The sequence below is a fragment of the Homo sapiens genome, chromosome 9, assembly GCF_000001405.40.
Source record: "Homo sapiens chromosome 9, GRCh38.p14 Primary Assembly".
NCBI classification, from domain to species: Eukaryota; Metazoa; Chordata; class Mammalia; order Primates; family Hominidae; genus Homo; species Homo sapiens.
Genome location: NC_000009.12, coordinates 211,851 through 228,677, shown reverse-complemented (window position 1 = coordinate 228,677; position 16,827 = coordinate 211,851). Strand labels below are relative to the sequence as shown.

Below are 16,827 nucleotides of genomic sequence, written 5' to 3'. Positions count from 1 at the left end.
CAAACTGGATAGCGTAAAACAAAAGAAATTTATTTTCTCAGAGTTCTGAAGGCCAGAAATCTGAACTCAAAGTGCGAGTAGGGCCATGCTCCCCTGAAAAATGTTGGGGAGGCAAAATTCAGCACACAGGAGGTGGTTTGTAAACAGAAAAACATAATTATAAAAGTACTCTTTCCTGTAATTTTTCAAATTTAAACATATGAAGATAAATATAAAAATAATAAAATTTTAAACAGTACCATGTTCTGAAAGGTAGTATGTCAGTGTCATCAGAGTTTCAAAATCTCCTGTAAAAAGTATCTAAATAGAATATTTTACTTATTGTTAGAAGTCTTAATGCTGGTGCAAAGAAAAATTTGTTGCATATTAGACAGCACAGGGTCTCTTGAATAACTTTACCCATATGTAAAGTTTTTTTTGGGAATAAAACACATCCTTCCTCTGTAAGATCAGCACATCCTTTGTTCAGCATTGTATGTCATATTTGTGTAAAAGTCACAGCCTTGTAGGGGCCTTCTGGTTACCACTTGTCCCATTTCTCTTCGGCCTCATCCAGGCTTTTTAAAGGAGTGGCCTCCACCAGCTTCCTCTATTTCCTCTGCATGGACTCCCTCTATAACCTTATGAAACCTGACTTCCTTCCCCACAGCTCCGCTAAAACTGCTAATTCAGAGGTTTTCAATGACCACCTTCAGGGTAAATCCAATGGCTCTTTGCCCTCATAATTTGGCATGTGATCTTTGTAACTACCCTCCTAGCTCTCTTTTCTGATACTACAACGGTCTGCCATGTGTTGGCCAAATCCCCCCTCCTATCTTTTCGTATCTCTTCTTTTTGTATGGATTGACAGTGACTCTTCCTCTAGGCCCATTCCTCTTCTCTTCCCCTTATACTTTCCATTCAGAAAATTTATCCATTCTTCAGTCCCAATCTCCACCTCACAGATGACTTTTTAATCAACATTTTCCATGCTGACCTACCACTGATGCCCCAAGCCTGTATTTCAAGCCGCCCAATAGAAATGTTCTGTATTTTATGTTCATCTGTGTTAGGGTGGGCTAGGTTATGGTGAGATAACAAACAATTCAAAAATCTCAGTGGTTTACAAAAACAAAGGCCTTCAGAGGGCAGCTGCAGCTCTGCTTTAATCATCTTTACTCCAGGATGCAGGATGACAGATCATCCACCACCTGGAACGCTGCAGATTGTTTAGAATAGGAGAAAGATAATGTGACAAAGTCCAGGCTATCTCTTCACCTCCAAGTGACCACATCACCTTCAACAGGTGAAAAGTAAAATCCTCCCATCGGGAGGGACAGCAAATATATGTAAAGGTACAGTCTACTACATCGTCTTAAACAAAACCTCTACGAGGGAAGTAAAAAATCATCCCCCCAAAACTAAGTCTAATTTCCAATTTTCATAATTTCTCATTGGCATCATCCTTATCCCATTTGACCAGGATGGAAATCTTGTGCCATTTATTTTATAATTGCTTCTTCTTCCAATTACAAAAGCATCCTTTGAGGAAAACTTGCAAAATATGCATGCATACATACACTCATACATGCATGTCCCAAGTACACAAAAGTCATCAATAATTCTACTACCCAGAGATAACACTCATGACATATTGGCGTATGTCCTTCTGGTTCTCTCCTTGTTATATGTATTGATCATTTATCTCTGCAGAGAGTTATGCATATATTTATTTTTTAATTAAAATGATACCATATTACGCATATAGCTTTCTGGCTATTAAAAACTTATCAAAATCATATCAATATTTTTTCCTTCTTATGTAAAAATATGTTTGGTATTGACTTGCAAACTTAAATATCCAGTCTTGACTTCTCCCCTGAGTTTCAGATTCCTAAATAAAACTGCATAGTAGCTAATTCTACTTGAATGTCTAACATGCATCTTAGACTCCATATGTCCCCAGTTAAACCCTTGATTCACCCTAAAAGCCTGCTTCTCCTCCAGTCTTTTCAATCTCTGTTAAAAGCATCAATATCCAACCCTGGAGACATCTTGATTTCTCTTTTTTTTTGTTTTTCATTGCCCCACCCCATATCTAATTCGTCAGCCCTAGCTCCAGAATGTTATCCCAGAGCTGCCTGGTTCTCTCCTTCTCAGCTCTGCTCTCTAGTTTTGCCATCGTCATCTTTCCCCTGGATTCTCCACTGCCTCCCAGCTGGTTTCCTTGCTTCTTTGTACAATAGATCTTTTAAACACAAAAGTCAATCGCATCATGCCCTGCTCCATAAACCATCCCATTTGATATGGTTTGGCTTTGTCTCCACCCAAATCTCATCTTGAATTGTAGCTCCCATAATCCCCACATGTTGTGCGAGATAATTGAATCATGGAGGCAGGTTTTTCCTCATGCTATTCTCATGATAGTGAATAAGTCTCACGAGATCTGATGGTTTTATAAAGGGCAATTCCCCTGCACACGCTCTCTTGCCTGCCGCCGTTTAAGATATGCCTTTGCTCCTCATTCACCTTCTGCCATGATTGTGAGGCCTCCCCAGCCATGTGGAACTGTAAGTCCATTAAACCTTTTTTTCTTTATAAATTATCCAGTCTTGGGTATTTCTTCATAGCAGTATGAAAATGGACTAATACACCATTGCACTTTGAATAACATTTAAATTTTTTCCATTGCCTTTAAGGCTTTTATGTGATTCGTTCTTTGCTAACTTCCCTCTTCAGCTCTCCTCCTCTCCCCTCATTCACTCCACTAGAGACAGACCAGTTCTTGCTTTTCTTCCAACACATCAAATTTACTCCTGCCTCAGTCATGTGCTTCGTCATTCCCCTGCTTGATCTTGGCTCAGAGGTTTTTCTCTAAGAGATGCTTTCCTTGACCATCCCATCTAAAGAATCCATGCCCTCTCAATGGCCCGTTTACATTCTCTGTATCACACTTATTTTATCTGATGTTTCCTTGTTTATTTAGTGGTTTATTTCTTCATTGTCTCCCCACTGGTATATTACTTTTTTTAGAATAAGAACCCTGTCTATCTTATTCATGACTCTATCCTCAGCACTTAGAATAGTGCTAGGCACATAGTAGGCTATAAGCAATATGCATGAAATGAATGAATGAATAAGTATGTAGTTGCTTCCCACATCCAGCTGATTCCTTTAAACTGTCTGCAGAAGCAGGCCCTTTTTTTCCATTCTGATGACCCAGTCTAATCCCAGATCTCACTACCTCACATCGGAATGACTGTGGCTCCCTCCTCACTCCTCCCCTGGAATCCCTTCCAATGCCTTCTGCACACTGCTAACTATTCTTCCCACCAGGTTTGTTTCATCTGTGAGTCACCTCCCTTCAGGGCCCAGCTGAGACTCATCTCCTCAGAGGTGTTGCCCTTCTGTAGCCAGGGCTACAGGCTTCTCTCTCTCTGAGTTTTTGTCCTTACCCCTCCCCAGCCACACAATCAAACACTGTTCCCCATGCTCTCTAACTTTTGCATTTATAGTCACCCACTCACCCCAGCTGGATTCTGAGGGCATAGGCTGCTTGTCTGTTTGTGTTTTGAATCTCCCGTAATACCTAGAGGAAGTCATAGGCAATAAAATATCTTGTTGATTTGAGTGAAATTATTGGACAGAGAATAAGGTACAGGAGGTAAATTGGATACCCCATCTAAGGGGATCTGTGAGACCAGGTAGTTATTTGGAATGAAAGAGTAAGATATTAAACCAGCCAGCATGTCAACAGGTGGGTGATAGTCTTGTTCTCACAGACAACAGATGGCCATCATCTTAAAACAACATTTATGTTAACCAGCAGATAAGGGACTCCTGCATTGTCAGTGGACTTTGAGCCTGAGTTTTTCTACTTGCATAGGTGAAAGTGGACTGCAATGCTAGTATAAATGCCGTATGATGACTAGTACCCCTTAGGGAGCTCCAGTTTGTCTTCCTGGGGAACCACAGACCCCAAGTGTAATTTCCTGAGGACAGCCCAACTTCTCTAGAGTGCTCATATTACACAGCAGAAAGCTGAGTAGAGAGAACTCAAAAAGGTCTGCCAAAGAAGGTTTTGGCTGTGTCCTGAATATTGCTCTGTATGGCAGTGAGAAGAAGCAGCGATTTAGGAAAAAGTATTTCTACCCGTGGCAGCAGAGGGACTGGGCCTCCCTGAGCAAACGAGAGAGTCAAGCTTGACCATTCAGCCATACGAAGGCCAAAATATCCACTTCAAGACTTCTGAGCAAATATCACATCTTCTTTTTGCTAATGTGCATACTCTCCTTAATTGAGTCTCCAAGCAATGAGGTAGAATTTTTATTCTGTGTTTTAAAACCATGTATTTAAAAATTAACATGTTATCGACTCAACTGCTTATCTTGGGTCAAATGCAAATCGTGGGTATATTCATCGGGGGAGAAAAATCTTTTTGAAAAATTTCCTGGTGATTTCAGGAAATGAGTAAGTGGTTATAATATTAAGGAGTAATTGAAAAACACTGTCAGAATGAACAGTTCTAAATAACCGTTGTTCTTTATAGTTTCCTGTATGCAGTACCATGCAATTTATTCTGATAAAGCTGTCTTTCTGAACTCACTTTTGGAACTCCTCTTTGCAATTACTTTCAGAACTATTTGACAAGGTACCTAAAAATCAGCTCCGTTATTTCACGGCTATATGTTATCTTTAACTCAAGCTGATATTATTTTATTTAATAGGCTTGCTTGAGTGCTAATGACTTTGGATCCCTCCAGAAGCTATACCATATATTGTTTATGGATATGCATATACACACACACCCCAGAAGTACACCTTTGTGTTAGTACTCTCAGGGAGCAGCAGGGAGAACAGAAATGGGCAACAGAATAACAGGGACTTCACATTTATCTGTAATGTTCTCTTTTTTAATTAAAAAAAAAACAACTAAAGCAAAAGTGACAAAATGTTAACAGATGTTAATTCTGTTAAGTGGAGACCTTTAGATACTTGCCATATTATCATCTGTATTTTCTATATTTTTTGAAACTTCTCAAATAATAAAGCAGATTCTCCCTAAAAAAAAAAAAAGATTTTAAAACACCAAGTTTCTTTTTAAAAATAAATGTACTCCAGTCCCTGAGAATAATTCTAAAAGGATTTCCAAAAATGTTTTTGGATAATGCTATTATCCCTAGTGGCATGACCCCAGAGAGGAATACTTTGAAGTCACGGAGGGCTATGAGGCCAGGGAAAGTGCCTTTCTTTTTCCAGCTCTCAATTTTGAGTAAATCTCCTCACTCCTTGCAGGCAGGCCCATGACTCACTTGTCTTTGTATTTCTGGGGCTTAGCACAGCACTTAGAACACAATAATCCTCAATGGCTGGCATGAGTGAACAAATGAATGAACTAACCAGCCTAGGACTTACAAGCCTACTAACTTACGAAGAGATGGGAGTGAGGCGGTGGAGTTTATTAACTTCTGTTTTTCTTAATTTAGTTCCAGTTTAGCTATTTGTATTTTTGGTCTCTATCACAGAAGAACAATGAATTTTGCCCTTTGATGAGAATGACAGAAGTCGAAGTTTTTTGAGGTTTCTGAGCAGAGTGGTACTAACTACTGTTTCCTTTTAGCCCCAGAAACCAATTCTAGAGGAAAAGGAACATTAAAAAAAAAGTATGAAAGAGGTCCATACTCTCTATTCTCTCATCCAAGTGAAAACACATACAATGAGTTATGTAATCTGGACTCTTATTTTGCGATAGAAAGGGATTCTGATTTTCCATTTGCTATTTTATTTAAAAGGGCTATGGCTTAGGCACCCAAAGGAGGAGGTAGATTGGATTACATTGTTAAGCAAAGTAAAAAGCACAGTTTAAAGTCTGGCAACTAGAGCTTACAACAAAATTAAGAAATAACTAAGTTGTTTGAACAATCTACCTTTATCATTAATCCACCTATTAAAGGAACAGAAGCAGAAAGTGAAAAAGGATAGAAGTTCTCACCATTTATGGTTGCATGTAAGGCAAAGAAAAAAGGAGAAATGCATGACTATTTTAATCCCTAAAGAATGACTTCAGAGTTCACTCTCTGACCTAGGAGAGAAGCTAAACAGGAAGAGGTTACAGGCATTTAAGAGAAGAGGTCAACACTGGCAAATAAAGATTTAAAAGAATGATAAAACTCGGTGGGGGTGTGAATGTGGGGAAAGGAGCATTCGTAGGGCCACTGGTAGGAGCAGAAACAGGTATACCTTTTCTGGGCGTCAATTTGGCAATCAAAAGCTTGAAAAATGTTTCTTTCCTATGACCAATTATACTGTTAGAAATTTGTAAGGAGGTGTTTGCACTAGCGCAGAAAAAAGTATGTATAAGACTGCTCCATCAAACTCTATACACTATTGTGAAAAGTCAGAACCTATCTCTTTTGGTTTTTTGTGTTTTTTTTTTGAGACAGGGTTTCACTCTGTGGCCCAGGCTGGAGAGTAGTGGCGCAATCATAGCTCACTGCAGCCTCAAACTCCTGGTCTCAAGTGACCCTCCCACCTCAGCCTTCTATGTAGCTGGGACCACAGGCATGCACCACCCTGTCTGCCTAATGTTTTGTTTGCTTTTTGTAGAGCTGGTGTCTCACTATGTTGCTCAGGCTGGTCTTGAACTCCTGGGCTCAACTGATTCTCCTGTGTCTGCCTCCCAAAGCACCGGGAGGCAGGTTCCAGGCATGAGCCACTGTGCCCAGCCTGGAACCTATCTTCATGCCCAATAATAGAAAATTAATTTAATAAATCATTTTACATCTAATCAACAGGATTTTATACAGCCTATGTAAATTATAATGCAGCTCTGTATTGATTTACATGCAGAGTTGTTCATGATTTTTTTTTTTTTAATGAGACAGAGTCTCACTCTGTCACCCAGGCTGGAGTGCAGTGGTGCGATCTCGGCTCACTGCAACTTCCGCCTCCCAGGTTCAAGCGATTCTCCTGCCTCAACCTCCTGAGTAGCTGGGACTACAGGCACCTGCCACCACACCTGGCTAATTTTTTTTTTTTTTTGTACTTTTAGTAGAGATGGGGTTTCACCATGTTGGCCAGGCTGGTCTCAAACTTCTGACTTCAAGTGATCCACTCACCTTGGCCTCCAAAAGTGCTGGGATTACAGGCATGAGCCACGGTGGCCAGCCCTCCTGTATACTTTAAATCATCTCTAGATTATTTATAATACTTAACACAATGTAAATGCTATGTAAATAGTTATTATACTATATTTTGTATGGAATAATGACAAGAAAAAAGTCTGTACATGTTCAGTACAGATGCAACTATCTACATTTTTTTCCAAATATTTTTGATCTGTGGTTGGCTGAATCCAGGGATGTGCCCACAGATGCAGAGGGCCGGCTGCCCTTTCCTATCTGTGATGATGAACATGAGAATAGACAGCTGGAGAAACTGGTTCTGTTGCCATCATTTCTCCTTTCTAATCTTGGGTTTAATCATAATGCAGTGGGACATGACATAATGTCTTGTACCCTAGGCCAACTTTATCAATTTGCTTAGTTTCACCAGAAATGCTGCATCGACATGTGTTCATATATACTTTCAGAGGTGTCAATCTGTTTTTCGTCTATACCCCCACTGTTGTCGATACAGCAAATGGTACCACTACTGTGCCAACTCCAGAAGCACAGGAACCACACTTAAACACACTATATAAATTTCATGTGTTTACCTAGAGCCCAGAGAGCCTTTCTGCTGCTGACTGGGTAAGACTAGACCAGCCTGAACAACACGGTGAAACCCCATCTCTACTAAAAATACAAAAATTAGCCGGGCGTGGTGGTGCGCACCTGTAATCTCAGCTACTCAGGAGGCTGAGGCAGGAGAATCGCTTGAATCCGGGAGGCAGAGGTTGCAGTGAGCCGAGATGGCCCCACTGTACTCCAGCCTGGGCGACAGAGCATGACTGTCTCAAAAAAAGAAAAAAAAAAAAAAAGAAAGAAATTAGACTACTGCTTGTGGGAACAGCAGTAGCACATTCCTGTTGCTTTAACCCTTTATCAAATAGGCCAAACGTTAATAAGCACCTGCCACTGAAAAAAACTAAATGCTTTTGTTTCTTAGCTTTCTCAGCAAGAAGTCTGAGTATGGTAACATCCCTACCTTCTCACGGTCCCTTAAAGAGGACGGAAAGTTGAGGTGTTTTTAACATCATCCCATTCCATCACTACCTTTATGGGGAGTTGAGATGGGAGACTTGGTCCCCTGAGTTCTTCATCTTTCCCTGGGCAACTACATGTTACTACGTTTTCTTTCCACTGGTCTATGAAGAAGTAAACATTAGCTTCATCAATATACATAAATGGTCAGAACTCAAAGAACTCCAAATGAAGAAAATTCACCCTGGTAGAAGGTTATTTCAGCATACATTTTGTAAGGCATCTTCAGAATAGCACTAGATGCCTAAAGCACAAATGGACCTTTTCCAAGAATCTGGAAGGAACCGATTCTAAATGTGAAAGGCCAAAAATTCTGTGTCTGATTGCCCAAGCCCCTCTGTTGGTCTTTGGTCTAGAACACATCAGACAAATAAAGCAATTCCTGAAAGCACACTACCTCACTCTGCCAGCCACCCCCACTACTGAGGAACAGCTCTGCTCTCACTGCAGATACACATCTATACATTTGAATACATATATTTTTATGCTTGTATTATCTTTGCAGATAAAATTAGCAAATACTTCTCAGAAAGCTCTCTGTAGCTCATTGTGCTCTGGTCGTTATGCCCAAAATTATTGGGTTTGTTCCTTTTTTTTTGAAATAGAGTCTCGCTCTGTCACTCAGGCTGCAGTGCAGTGGCGCAATCACTGCTCACAGCAGCTTCAACTTCCTGGGTTCGAGTGATCCTCCCATCTCAGCCTTCCAAGTAGCTGGGACTACAGGTGCAAGCCACCACAGCTGGCTAATTTTTGTATTTTTTGTAGAGACAGGGTTTTGCTATGTTGCCCAGGCTGGTCTCGAACTCCTGGGCTCGAGCCATCTACCAGCTTAGGCCTCCCAAAGTGCTAGGGTTACAGGTGTGAGCCACCATGCCCAGCCTGTGGTTGTTCTTAAATGCTATCTTTATGTAACTTTATTCTCTCTTCTTGCCACCTTGTTTTTGTCTTTCATAAAATCACTCTCTGGTGATGATTATTATGCCTAATACTTTGTTCCTTTTTTATTTTTTATTTTATTTTATTTTGAAACAGAGTGTCACTCTGTCGCCCAGGCTGGAATGCAGTGGCACATCTCAGCTCACTGTAGCCTCCACCTCCCAGGTTCAAGCAATTATCCCACCTCAGCCTCCTAAGTAGCTGGGATTACAGGTGCACACCACTACACCTGGCTAATTTTTGTATTTTTTAGTAGAGACGGGGTTTCGCCATGTTGGCCAGGCCGGTCTTGAACTCCTGACCTCAGGTGATCGTCCCGCCTTGGCCTCCCAAAATGCTGAGATTACAGGCGTGAGCCAGTGCACCCAGCTCTGTTTGTTCCTTTTCTGAAAGGACGAAATGAAGGTATATAAAGTTCTTAGCACAATATGTAGCACATAGTAAATAATTAATAAATGTTACCTATTATTATTTTAAAATAAAACTGAGATGGCAGCATGGTATAATGATTAAAAGAGAAGACTCTGGAGCCAGGCTGCCTGCATTTGAATCTCAGCTGTGACCTTAATTAGTTGTTTGTGAGTTTGGACAATTTCTATATCTTCTCTGCACTCAGTTTCTCCATCTGTAAAACGGAGATAGTCATTGCTCCTATCTCATAGAGGTGAATGAGTTACGATATGTAAATATTTAGAACTGTCTCTGCCACATAGAAAGCATTCTAGAAGTGTAAGCCATTATTTTTTCTTCCTTTCAATCCTGACTGTCCACAAGAGGGTTAATGTTTTTTTCTGCATTCTACACTTTCGTCCTCTTTATCCAAGGTTCTTATTTTACTTTAATATTTGATCAAATTTTACATCTATTCTGTATTTGAAAGACACTAAGATTTTGTTTAATAAATTTTCAGAGTACTAGTAATAATTTTTATAATCTACAAAGGCACTAAATTCCAGTAAGAAAAAAGGCAATTAACAAGACTAGATGTTCCCACAAGTACCATGTTATGACATTTAATGCAGCAGCACCTGAAATCCCAAACGCAAATGTTATTACGAACTGCCTAACTTAGATCTAGTCTTTCCTTGGCACGCAAGTCAGCAACAAAAAAATGGAAATGAAGACAAGTATATAGCACTTACAAGAAAATTAATTTCACCTTTCTTCTCAGACTGTGAGATAGTCTGCTCACTCCTTCTGGAGACTGGTGTGGTCAGAACTGAACGCTTTACAAATAATATTTTTAATATATCAGATTTGAATACTTCATTAACAGGAAGCACACTGGTTTTATCCCACAAATATTTTTAAGAGATAGTTTACACTATTCTGAGTAGTAAGGTGAAAAACATGAGCACATGCTGAATGTACTAATGGCCATATTTCAACACAGTCTTACTTTTGGAATTTGACCTATTTAAAAAAAATAATAGGTAGGCACGTAAGGGAAAACATTTCTTTTCCACCTTCAACATTGCAAAACATCACATTGTTAATGTTTATATATTAAACACTAATCAGAAACAGAACACTTTGCCAATGCTGCTACCAAAATGATGATTTTTTAAAAATTAATTCCCCTCTTGCTTTAAAGGAAATTCTTGGGATACATATGCATCAAAATAACAATCGGCCCAATTAAGAGCACAGTCTTTGGAGCAGTTTGCAATCCCAGCTCTGCCATTGCTGGTTGTATGGTCTTGAAAAAATTACATGGCCTTGTGCAGCTGTATCTCCAAGATTCCTTTTCCTCTTCTGTACAAGACTTCATGAGTTTGATAGGCTTTTTGTGAGAATTTAATCATAAAATCCATTAACTGTATAATATAGTGTCTGGGACACAATAAGTAAACAATAAATGGTGAAATTAAATGATATATGAATACTAGGTATGTCCTTATTAATCTGCTCCTTTGAATAATAATTTCTGCCAAGCTCCTTAGCATAACTCTCCCACACAACACACAGAGTGCTTCAAAAAGGAAAACAGAACTCTAAGAATACGAATTTCCAATCCATTTTCTTGCCTGAGGATTATAGAACCTTTTATACTTTATTAAACTTGAGGGGGCTCTTCTTGATCAGATTTCATCACATATTTTCTTCCATTGAATGTGTTTTGGGTTCTCAGCACCAGATGGAAGGCACAGGCGGAGAAACACTGGCCCCAAGAAAGCTCCCAGCCAGCCACTGGCATCTCCATACCTAACCCAAACTGATCTCTGCCTGAAGCTCTCCAACTTCAGCTTTCCTTCCTACCTTTCTATCTTAGGCTCTCAAAGATGGTGATGATGGAGATAATGACAGCAGTGAAGCTGATTGTAATGTTAATGATGGCAACTAAGAATTATTCACCATTTATTCTGAGCCAGACACTACAAGCAACATGCAATCAACATGAAAATCATTAACAAGACATTTTGCATTATTTTTTCTGTACTGTCTCTAAATTCCAATGTGTATGTTACACATCCAGCACTTGGCAATTCGGACTTTGTACCTATTATTCATTTAATCCTCCCCACAGTCATAAGAAGTAGGTACTATGATCAACTCTACTTGGCACATAAAGAAACCAAAGCTTAGAGAAGTTAAGTAACATGTCCAATGTTGCACAGTGACTTTGTAGCAGAGAGCCAATTTGCAAGCAGATCAGACACTAACCAGGGCCTTTATTCTTAACCCCCAGGTGACACCGACCCCGCAGTTGCTTGCAAGACTGCCTGTAGGATTAGTCCGGGTCTCGGCCACTCACCCCAGATCAACCCTGCCCAACCCCATAGTTTCTAACATCTTTCTGCCCCAGTCACACTTCCTGATCTAAAATTCACAAAGACAGAGGATCAGGAGCTATAGCAAATAATACACCCATCAGTAACTTCAGTTTGATTCCCTATACTCCTTGAATGAATTACCCCTCCTGGCATGCAACAGCTATGAACCTTAATGTAGAAAAAAATTCCCATAGGGAGATCCCTGATATACTTCATGCCTTGTTTTTGCTTTTTTTTTTTTTTTTTTGTCTGTTTTTTGAGACAAGGTTTCACTCTCTCACCCAGGCTGGAATGCAGTGGCATGATCACAGCTGTGATCCTCCTGGGCTCAAGCGATGCTCTTGTCTCAGCCTCTTGAATAGCTGGGGCTACAGGTGCATGCAACCACACCTGGCTAATGTTTTAAAATTATTTTTTTGTAGCCACAGGGGTCCCACTATGTTGCCCAGGCTGGTCTCAAACTCTGGGCTCAAGTAATCCTCCCATCTGGGCCTCCCAAATTGCTGGGATTAGAGGTGTGAGCCATGGCACCCAGCCTCTTTATGCCTTTTGACTAGTACCTTTTGGCCTCCAACATTAATATGCAATATACATAAATAATTAAACTCATTTTACAGATGACGAAATAGTAAGGTAAGAGAAACAGTTTGCTGGCAGTCACGTATCAAGTGGAAATAAAATCGTCAATAAAGCTCGATATGCCCTCTAGAAGACCTTATCGCCTTGTTTTTCTAGGCTTTTAATTCCTTGTTCAAACCTCTTCACACACTAACAGCACAAAGATGAACCTACGGTGGAATCCACCTTTCACAGGCTCAGCTAAGTGAAGATTAACAAATCGGACAGCCCTGTGGGCAATAGAATAAGTTGACACTTTAGAATGAGTTTCCTATTATCTTTTAACTAGACAGTCTAGCTTTCTCAGGGCAAGACAAAAATGTCCCAATTACTTGTCAGCAGTTTTTAGTGGAGGAAAAACTGCAGTTAAAGCACCTTTACTGAGAACTTTGAGCAGTAAATGTGCTTACATATTTAGTTTGTGCAACTTTGATTAGGAATTGGATGGTGAGTTGGGATCCCCCAGTCCTTAGCTTTTTGCTGGAGTTCTGTAAATCTCAAAATGTCAGCCACAGGCCATTTCTTTTGGTTTATTTAAGTGTAGATTTTTTAAAAAATCACTTTTTCCACTTCATGGCTCCTTTGGACCAGGGTATAAAAATAGCGATGCCACCAGGAGCCAAGCTCTTTCTGGAATAATGAAGCAGGCGAGGACGGAGCCTTGCTCAGGACGACAGAAGGCTTGCAGCCTGCCTCAAACGCAACTCTAATTTCAGCCACTTCACTTCTTCCCCCCGCGCTCAGACTTGCCTCAAAGGAAGGAGCCGTTTATGAGACACTCCGTGGCGCGCCCAACACGGTTACCCAGGCGCCTATCACCCTTCTGGGACCCGGCCACCTGTAAGAACCTGGAGGGCGGAGCGGGCGAGGTTGTTCGGGGAAGGGATCCCCGGCGGCTGAGGACATCCAGGAGCACCGAGATTCTTGGGGAGGACCTCGCCGGGCCCAGCGCAGGAGCCGCCGCGCGTCCAGCGGCTCCACCGCCGCAGCCTCGGGAACCGGGCGCCCCAGGTCTCAGGCGCGCCCCGCCGCGGACGCGAATGGACTCGTCCGGCCTCGGCCCCTGCAGCGAAGCTCCGCTTCACACCAGCGCTGGGCTGTCCGGCCGCAACCTGCGCGCCGCGGGGGGCGTCTTACCTGTTGATCTTGAGCGCGAACGCGCGGCGCTCTGCGCTCGGCAGAGTGGCCATGGCCCGCCGGCGGTTCGGTGGCTTCTAGGGTCGCGGGGTGCGGAAAGCGGGGGCCTGGCGCGCCGCAGAGTAGCCGCGGAACATGCCCAGCCAAGCGCAAACCTCGTCTGTCGGTCGGCGCTGGAAACTTCCGCATTTCCACCTTCTAAGCCGAAATCACCCCGGGGGAGGGTCCGAGCTCGGAGCAGCGACGGCCGGCTCCGCCACCCGGCCTGGCGCGCAGGCAGCGGCGGGCGAGGAGGGCGTGGGCCCAGCGCGGAACTGGCCTCCCGATACTGGGGCAGACGGCGCGCTCTGCCCGGGGCCGCCGACCTCCGGCCGAAGGGAGCGCGGGCGGACGACAGGCGACCACTGCGCGCAGGCCGGAAGCTCCATCTGCCCGAAGCTGCGAGGCTGCCAGGGAATGTAGGCAAGTCGGGGGAGCCCCACAAAGCTGGCGAGGTCGGGAATCACCCCAGGGATTCGTAAGGCTAGGTGTTATTAAGGGTTGACACCATTCTCGAAGAAGGCAGCCAAAAAAAAAGACAAAAAAGTTAGTGGAATCTATCAGGATTCAAATCAACTTTTGCAAGCAATATGCCCATCATCCTTCCTGAGACACTAAATAAATATAATGGATTCATCCAAGGAATAAACATTATGAGTTCTCAAAAAATGTTTTCGTCACAACCTGGCGTGAATGCTTTTCTCCGGAGAAACACTGAAGGCGGCGTTCTTGCGATTCAAGGGTACGCTGCGTCCAGGTTTATTTCAGTTTCAGACTGAGGTCTGCTAAGAAGCCCGGCCTCAAACTCAAGATAAAAACAGAAAAGTCCCAGTGTTGACGGGAGTGGAGGAGCCCGTGTTCGCTTCAAGGTGCCGGCGTGCTGCTCTAACCTGTGCTATATATACTCGAGCACTCTCCATATAATGCCTCCATTTACCAACTTGCTCTTAAAAAATACCAAAGCAGGCCGGGCGCGGTGGCTCACGCCTGTGATCCCAGCACTTTGGGAGGCCGAGGCGGGCGCATCACGAGGTCAGGAGATCGAGACCATCCTGGCCAACGTGGTGAAACCCCGTCTCTACTAAAATACAAAAAATTAGCCGGGCGTGGTGGCGCACGCCTTAGTCCCAGCTACTTGGGAGGCTGAGGCAGGGGAATCACTTGAACCCGGGAGGCGGAGCTTGCAGTGAACCGAGATCTGCCACTGCACTCCAGCCTGGCGACAGAGCAAGTCTCCGTCTAAAAGAAAAAAAAAAAAACAACCAAAGCGAAGTATTTTTGGTTCAAACCTGCACTATTTAATATGATAGCCACTAGCCACATGTGGCTATTGACCACTCGGCATTATGGTTAGTCTGAATTGCCCACTGCTGGATGTGTAAAATGTACACTGGAATTTAAAGACAGCGCAGAAAACATCGTGTAAAATGTCTTGTTAATGATTTTCATGTTGATTGCATGTTAAATGATACTTTGGATATAAAAAATATATTATTAAAGTTAATTTCACCTGTTTGTTTTCCCCTTTTAAAAATGTGGTTTGCATTTTTAAAAATGTAAAATTACACATGTGGCTCACATTTGTGAGCCTCATTATATTCCTATTGGACAGTGCCAGTCCAATACAACCTAATTTGTCACCTAATACTAAAATCCACCTAAGGACTATATTCAGTCTCTTCCTGATACAGCCTTCCTTCCTGGTTTCAGCTGTGTCAGGTAGTTTAGTAACTTTTCAGTACTGGTTAGGTAACTCCCCGCCCCCCAATGCCCACCAAATATCAGTGCCCTTTTAAGCATATAAGACAAAGTTCACTGCATAGACTACAATAGACTACATACGAAAACAAACCCAAAGAAAAATAAAGCTTTTTTGAAATTTAGAGTTTCTGACTTTCAAAACTGTCCTTATTTACTACATTGGAATTTATGAGCAAACATTTGGATAGCAAAATACAAAGAGAACAAATGTGTAAGTACTTCTTCAAACTGAGACTCAACGAATGATACATAGAAAACATTTTGCCCCAGAGGCTTCGGTCCACGGTGTACCATGTCAGCCTTTCGGATGAACTCCTCTGAATTTCTGAATGTTTATGACATACATTTTCATATAGAACAAAAATATACTGGTTTCACACAAACATAAATAAAATGTAATGAAAGCATCTCAGATTTTCAGCATTTGCAATCAAGGAAACTTTTTGGGTGAATGTGGGAATCATAAAACCTTCCATCTTGCCTCAGATCATACTGCAATAGATTTAGTATTTGGTACCTAACCATGAAGGTTAGGCCAGCATTATTATCCTCTGTGCTGTCAATTTCTTGATGGTTAGAATTGTCTCCAGATTTCCTTAACACTCTTTTAACAATTCACCATGAATGTGTTATCCATTAATTTAGTCAAATGCCTGTTTTCAAGTTTGATCTGCTGTTAGATACATTCACATATTGCTGGCAAATAGCCATCCAAGTGCCTTTCTTCCTTATTCTCACTGCCTCTTTCGTTTTCCATCAGCCCTCTGTCCAGAGAGAACTCTGGGAGGCCTCCTTCTTTCCGCATCTGATGGTCTCTCTTGGCCTTCCTCTTTCTCCGTATCTTTGTGTCATTCAATTTTGTTTTTCACCTTTATACAACTCTTCCCTTGACTTCTATCTCAGACCATACATCAATTATCCTAAATGCTCTAGTTTTCCCCACATCTTCTTCTTACCTCCCCAGAAAGCCGACCTCTTTCTCTACATTGCATCTTACCTATTTTATTGAACAAACAACTAAATAACACTTATCTTGTACCGGGTACTGCTCCAAGTCCTTTATAAAAATTAATTCATAGCAACCATTAAATAATAACATTAACCCCCCCACACATACCTCTTTGCAACTGGAGAAACTGAGGCTTAGAGAAGTTAAGTGACTTGACCAAGATTACAAACTAGTAAGGGCAGAGCCATTTCCTATCCTAAAGTTTTGCCTATTTCCCAGATTTCTGTACTCTAACATCTTCAAACTCCAGTATAAAACTAAAATTCTCCATCTACCCTACTTAACTGGAAGCTAGCTATCTCTCCATAATCACACATTTTTTGGGGGGTCGGTGGTGGCACACTACTTCCTCATTTTCCAGGTTTAAAAC

The 16,827-nt window shown here is 41.9% G+C and overlaps 1 protein-coding gene and 1 long non-coding RNA gene across 9 annotated transcripts in view, besides 4 other annotated features; one reads left to right on the top strand and one right to left on the bottom strand.

Moving 5' to 3' along the window:
* Positions 1-16,827, bottom strand: part of DOCK8 (dedicator of cytokinesis 8) — a 253,999-nt gene that overhangs the window by 236,578 nt on the left and 594 nt on the right. For 4 of the 8 annotated variants that reach the window (XM_047423932.1, NM_203447.4, XM_047423929.1 and 1 more), the window contains exon 1: positions 13,649-13,813. The exons of the other annotated variants lie outside the window; for them this stretch is intronic. Coding sequence is in view for 1 of the 4 variants with exons in the window: in NM_203447.4 (NP_982272.2) it covers positions 13,649-13,701 (53 nt within the window). In the remaining 3 variants the exon portion in view is untranslated. Of the gene's footprint in view, positions 1-13,648; positions 13,814-16,827 lie in introns of those variants that run through there. 8 annotated transcript variants of the gene reach the window in all.
* On the top strand, positions 12,928-15,221 carry DOCK8-AS1 (DOCK8 antisense RNA 1). Its single transcript, NR_160804.1, has one exon. It is a non-coding gene; the product is annotated as a DOCK8 antisense RNA 1 (long non-coding RNA).
* Positions 13,339-13,478: a silencer, noted in NCBI's record as "silent region_19723". NCBI's record gives its function as "represses an Ori minimal core promoter by ATAC-STARR-seq in GM12878 lymphoblastoid cells {active_cell/tissue: GM12878}" and the evidence as "EXISTENCE:reporter gene assay evidence [ECO:0000049][PMID:35858748]".
* Positions 13,649-13,698: a silencer, noted in NCBI's record as "silent region_19722". NCBI's record gives its function as "represses an Ori minimal core promoter by ATAC-STARR-seq in GM12878 lymphoblastoid cells {active_cell/tissue: GM12878}" and the evidence as "EXISTENCE:reporter gene assay evidence [ECO:0000049][PMID:35858748]".
* Positions 13,749-13,798: a silencer, noted in NCBI's record as "silent region_19721". NCBI's record gives its function as "represses an Ori minimal core promoter by ATAC-STARR-seq in GM12878 lymphoblastoid cells {active_cell/tissue: GM12878}" and the evidence as "EXISTENCE:reporter gene assay evidence [ECO:0000049][PMID:35858748]".
* Positions 13,809-14,058: a silencer, noted in NCBI's record as "silent region_19720". NCBI's record gives its function as "represses an Ori minimal core promoter by ATAC-STARR-seq in GM12878 lymphoblastoid cells {active_cell/tissue: GM12878}" and the evidence as "EXISTENCE:reporter gene assay evidence [ECO:0000049][PMID:35858748]".